This window comes from Homo sapiens, chromosome 15 (assembly GCF_000001405.40).
Source record: "Homo sapiens chromosome 15, GRCh38.p14 Primary Assembly".
NCBI classification, from domain to species: Eukaryota; Metazoa; Chordata; class Mammalia; order Primates; family Hominidae; genus Homo; species Homo sapiens.
This window is the reverse complement of record NC_000015.10, coordinates 92167597-92173596: the sequence shown is the minus strand read 5'-3', so window position 1 is coordinate 92173596 and position 6000 is coordinate 92167597. Positions and strand designations below refer to the sequence as shown.

At 45.5% G+C, this 6000-nt stretch overlaps 1 protein-coding gene across 1 annotated transcript in view, besides 1 other annotated feature; it reads right to left on the bottom strand.

The window, feature by feature from the left end:
* Positions 1-1161: 1161 nt before the first annotated feature.
* Positions 1162-6000, bottom strand: part of SLCO3A1 (solute carrier organic anion transporter family member 3A1) — a 318728-nt gene continuing 313889 nt past the window's right edge. Inside the window, exon 11 of the mRNA NM_001145044.1 lies at positions 1162-1817. Within this exon, the coding sequence (NP_001138516.1) occupies positions 1735-1817 (83 nt within the window). The 3' untranslated portion in view covers positions 1162-1734. The remainder of the gene's footprint in view (positions 1818-6000) is intronic.
* Positions 2364-2658: an enhancer, noted in NCBI's record as "tiled region #10912; HepG2 Activating DNase matched - State 8:EnhW". NCBI's record gives its function as "activates a minimal TATA promoter and a strong SV40 promoter by Sharpr-MPRA in HepG2 cells {active_cell/tissue: HepG2}" and the evidence as "EXISTENCE:reporter gene assay evidence [ECO:0000049][PMID:27701403]".

The window sequence follows — 6000 nt, the reverse complement described above, 5'->3', positions numbered from 1 at the left end:
TGGACCTTGAAGAAAGTCAAGCACATTGTTTCCTGACCCCCTAAAACCTCAGAGTGAAAAGACAACTCAAGGCTGAGGTGGATGCAGTCTTCAGGTAATAATAGATTTGACAAGCTTTGATTTGGGGTGAACTCAGCTGCAGTGGATGATGGGCTACAGAGGACAAGATTCAGGATGGAGAGGACTATGAAGAAAAGTGGTCAGTTATGGGGCTAGCCCCATAAGACAAGTGGATTCTAAGTGCTTTGCCCAAAAGACAAAGCACAGATAGAATTCTGGCAAGCATCCATGCCTGAGCTCCAGTCTGGCCAGTGGAGTAATGCAGTGGGGATTCCATTCTGCAAGTCAGTGGCAGGTGTCAACCCAACCTATCTGCTCATATGAGGTTGGAGTCCAGCCAGTGAATTAATAAAGATACAGAGGTGAGTCCAGCCAATTACGAAGAGACCTAGCAAGGTATGGGAAAGCCACTAGAGCTCTAGCCACTGGGTAGCTTGTGGACCTACAGAAAGGGAGGCAAATGCTGTAGTTTCCACTGAGGGAATGGGACTGGGTCTGAGGCTGTTTGTTCATCATTCATTCATTTGCATATTGATCACCCACGGAAGAACATGCACTGTACCTGGGCACTATACACTATACATGCACTGGGGCTTTTGTGAGATGAAGCCAATTGCCTGTCTCCTAGGCTTTACAGGCAGTGGGAGAATCAGAAATGAAAACCAGACAGTGAGAGGATAGGACCACTAAATGTTACCAGTAGAAGCTGCATGGTATGGAGCATTTAGATTCCAGCCAGAGGTTGGGGTAGTAATGAACAATGACAATTTCTGTGCTGTATGTTGCACTTGGTACCTTTACACATGATCTAATTTAAGTCGTACCATAGTTGCATAAAGTAGGCATTAATATTCTCATTTTACAAATGGTAAAACGGGGGCTAAGAGGAGTCAGATCACTACATTAACATCACACCAACAGTGGGGTAGGGATTTGAGTTCAGGTCTCTCTTGGCTCTAAAGCTCATACTCTCTTAAGTCCATAACCTCAAAGCCCATAAATATAGAACGCACATAGCCAGAAACACTCTCCAGAATCTTTTAGAATCATTCTACCTGAAGGCACAAGAAAGATAACAGAGATTAGAGCATGAGACAGAGGAAGAATTAAAATAGTGCTTTTAATATAATTTTCAGCAAACGTACAGTATGTACTTTACATCACATATTTCTAAACTGCTCATTTGGAAAATAAACGCTGCAAAAATACAGAGTACCACACTCAAAAATCTATTGAGTATGTGCTTTTTCCCCCCTCCATTCTATGCAACAGGTTGGTTTTTACCCTCTCGGCTGATTTCATTAAAGCTGTTGGAGCCCTCAGTCAGAGGAGCATTCCCAAGAGGGGAGTTTCTAAAGCATGTCGGCAAGCCATCCCCAGAGGAGGTAGAGGGATGGGTGGAAGGGAATTTGCACACCAGGTCAGCATGACTCTTTAGAGACCCAGGAAAGATGCCTACTCTGAGAGCTGTTTGGAGTACTCCTGACCATAAGTCACCTCTTTGGTCCTCATCACAGGCCTGCGCTTGGGGCCTCAAAGGACCACACACTGGCTGGATAATCCACATGGGGACCCTCGGGTTCTCGGACAGGGAGGAGCGCGCTAAGTGAGGCCCGCGAGGTCTGTGGGTGGTGGTGGGCTGTTCTCTCCAGGAAGAGGAAGAGGGCCAGGCCCTCAGCTTCTCACAAAGGAGTCTTCTGAAGGTGAATGTGATTCGGGGCAGGTTTTCTCAGTCTCAATGTCTTGGTACTCTGTGCCTAAAGGGGGAGGAGGGAAGAAGAGCCAAGAGGAAAAAGAGATCGGTCTTTTCTGCTTCACCTACTGTTTGTTAGGCTTATTTAATAGCATGATGGCTTTGCAGTGAAGGGACAAGAGTAGGCAGTCAAAGCAATAAAGTGCTGGGTTTCATTCCATGTAACCCCAAGGGACCAGACTCTGAGCCCAGAGACTTTTTTGAAGGCCAAATATCCTTTCTGGGAAGGATATTTATCTACATGACCAACCCCACAGCCAAGCAGATGTCGGGGATGAGTAAGATGTATCCCAGTCAATAATTTATCCTTATCTTATGTAAATTACTAGTGACAGACCTTGTGTTCTGGGGCTCTAAGTGTCACTGTACATCTCTATTGAAGAGATTCCTGAGTGTCACAGAAAACTGCCTGGCATCACAATGTCATATTTCCTCCTCCAGCATTCGGGACAGTTTGTTTTTTTGTGTAGCCACAGATATTCACTGCATGCTGGCTGAAACGATATCCTCTTTGGAGCAAGGTTTTTAAGCCTACGCCACATTTCCAGAATAGATGCTGTGGCTTCATTTTAAAGGTATTAAAAACACAACTAGTCTCAGTGATGATTCACAAGCTGTGCAGGTCTCATTGATTGTGACATGCAGCTCTCCTGTTCAATAGGCACAACGAGGCCACAGAAGTCTCTATTTATTTGTCCTCTTTAGACTTTGACCCAGCGCTACAAAGGTGACAGTTTGGAAATGTCATTCCTTTCCTCGGGATTGTGAAGCTGAAGCCTGAGTCCTGGGCAAGTTCGAGCATCCTTCCTTCACTCTCACAAGGCCTACGTTCTTACAGTCTTGGGTTCCACTGAAAGACTTGGGCGTGGGGAGTTGGGAAGGGTGGGACCGAAGTGAGAGAGCTGGGGTTCATCCCTGCTCAGCAGAATGAATAAGATAAAGGCTGATGAATGGCTGGGAAGTTCCTGCTGATGTGGCTAAGGTTGAAGTAGGAAGGAGGAGTGTTTTGAAAGGTTTCCAACATTTAATTATTAAAGTGAAACCTAGATTCCTGTGCCCATAGGCAAAACTTTGCAGAGATTCTCACCTCCAACTCCTGGCTCACTTCTCTATGAAACAATAGACTCCTGCTAGGGGTTTCCCACAGGTAGACGCTCTGTTGGCTTTGCAGAGGCTTCATAAGAAGCTAGTTCCGTGTTCTAACTTCGGGGGCTTTGTGTTGTAGTGGAAAGAGCACTGGTTTAGGAGTCAGATCTGTCACTGGCTCCTGGTGGCTTTATAAACTAGCTATGTGATCTTAGAACGGTTGGATTTGCTGAGCTTTAGTTTTCAGACCTGTGAAGTGGAAAAGAATATATACTTACCTCGTAGGGCTGGTGTGAGAAGGCTGCTGGGAGCAGTACCTGGGATCATGAATTCACAGAACCCGGCACGTGGGTAGCAGGTGCTTAATAAAAACATGAGCTTCCTGGCCCCTTCCCTCCCTTACAGTGCTGGATGGGAGCACCATCTGTGTTCAGTTGGGATCCTTCTGTAGAACATTTTGTAAATTCTATGCTTCCAATTCATTTTATGGCCTTAGATTATAAAATCAAATGGTCTTGCCAAACATGTCTCCATGAGAGCAATCTTCTATAAGGTTAGTGTGAGAATCTTCTATAAGGTTAACGTTAAGAAAAACATGAATGGGATGGTAAGTGTCCACCTACAGAAAGTTAAACTTCCAGAAAACTTACTATGTTGTTCATTTGCTCATAGCAAAAGAACGTAATCAATTGTATCTTACGGGACAAAAATTCAAAATTTATGATAATCACCAACTCCTGATTGTTGACCTGAGTCACTATTACAAAAATGGAAATGTCTGGATATTCTGTTCCTAAAAGCCTGGAATCTGAGAACAGAAGACAGAACAGCAAGCTAGGGTGGCCAGTGCATGAGTTTGACCAGGGACTTGAACTCAATATGACAAGTGCCCCTGGTCTCCTCTGGAGAGGAAGTATATCCAATTAGGGACCAGCTTCGGTGTGTTTGAAGCCCTGGGGTCAGAGCTGATCTCCTGTGGTTGATGCTGTAGACTACAGGGGTGCCAGGCATGGCAGGTATCTGGGGTCTTTCCGGGGGAGCCGATGACCAGCACTGTGGAGTGCCTCCCTGGCATCTTGGTGCTTTGATAGTGCATTTCGGAATGCACTAGGAGTCTCCTATCTGATTCCTCTTATCTGTCTGTTTCAGGTAAAATACTTCACATCAATGGACCACTGGGATCAGGGGTTAGAAGGACACACAGCCCCAGAGCCCAGCTGCCATGGTGTCCTGGTTGTTACATCAGGAGGCACGTGGGAGCATGTGGGGCCCCACAGTCCACTCGGGCCAGGGTCTTCTTGATCAGTGTCTAAAGGTGGGGAGGGAGGTCCCTCGTGTCTTACCTGGTAGGGAGGTAGTACCCATAGTGGTTATGGGTCTGTCTGGGAATAAGGAGAGCTTTTAAAGACCTAAAAGCTTTTTCACAGACCTGGGTTTGAATCCCAACTCTGCTTTGTGAATTTGAGCCAATTCTGGACCTTCCGAGTCTCATTTTCTTCCCCTGTAAAATGAAGCCAATAACAGCTCCTACCTCACAGGGTTATGGTTGAGATTACATGAGCTAATACATGAAATAAGCTCAGCCAGCAGCTGGTTCATAGTCAGTGCTTGAGAAATGTTAGCTACTATTATTAGTGCTTACCAAGTATTTTACCTGGCATATCTGTTAACTTTAGGGTGCCAGTGTTTTGTGTTGGTTGTGGGGAGGAAAAGGATTGGAAAATACTCTTTGGTATCTGGAATCACTCTTCTTTTTCTAGTTTGAACATTTCTCCCTCATGTGCCCATTTCCATCATTTAAGAGAAAAAGGATGGTAACTCTAGTCGAGCTACAGTGTCACAGCTATATGGGAATGTAGACTATACAGTTCAAATCCGCCACGTCACACAAGAGAAAAATAATGTTGCCTTCAATTTTAACCATGAGAGCAAAGGGGTACTTACTTTATTCTTGGAAATGAGATATCTGAATTAAGAGTCTCATGGTCAGGAGTGTTAAGGCTGATAGACACCTAGCTCAGGGTCCCTTCCTATGTATGCCCTGGCCCATGCTACAGCAGTCTTAGGTGCTGGGATCTGCCTCACCTATGCTCAGCCGCTAGGGTCCCCCAAACATGCAGTGCTGCTTGAGACCTTGCCTGTGCAAGAGAACAGAGATCAGCACACGATGGCCTTCCCTCAGTCACCGACGGTCTTTGTAAATAAAGCTTTATTGGAACATAGCCCATTGGTTCACCTGTTGTCTATGGCTGATCTCACAGTACTACATCAGTTGAGAAGTTGCAACACAGACTGCAGGCCCACAAAGTCTAAAATGTTTACTACTTGGCCCATTAGAGAAAAAACTTGTGAATGTTTTGGTGGCGCTCTCTCTGGGGGCAATTCTGCCCTCATCTTCTCACCCTGCTTCCCCAAAAGTCACCCACTGCTCTTTAGTTCTTAGTTTCTAGGCCACCCACTCTCCAGAGCCTTCCTGATTCTTGCTGCCATGAGGCAGAACTCACCACCATCATGAATTGGCTCTCCTTATCCCCAGACAGACCCTAGCTCTTAATACTATTATCCCATTGGTTTTGTTTGTGTTCAGATCTGTCCAGCTCATTGAAATGGGGGTTCTTGGAGGGTAGGGACCAAAACTTTTCCACTTTTGCATCTGATCTAGGGCTTGGCATATAGCCAAAATTTTAAGTAAAGGAATGAAAAAATACATGTTTTGAATATATCAAACTCATGCAATGCACGCCCAAATAAACTCTGCAAAGAAAAATGCTAATGTGGATAGTCTCTGAGAAGTGTGAGTTGTCCCTGTCTCCATGGCAGTCACAGGTTTCTAAGGGACAGGGCCATCTTTGCTTTCCAAAATTTTCCATTTTAGGTTTGATAACCCATGTTGTCCCTGCCATGACGACCAAGCATTCTGGGTTGCTGAAGCTACTGATGAGGCAGGCGTGGGTGGCTGCATGCATTCAGGGTGGATTCCACATGCTGTTCTAGGCAACAGGCCCCATAAGAGGCATTTGAACAAAAATCTGCCTTGCATCTTCCACCAGTGAGAGAGTATTCCAATTTACTCTTGAGCAATGACAGTACACTAGGGGCGT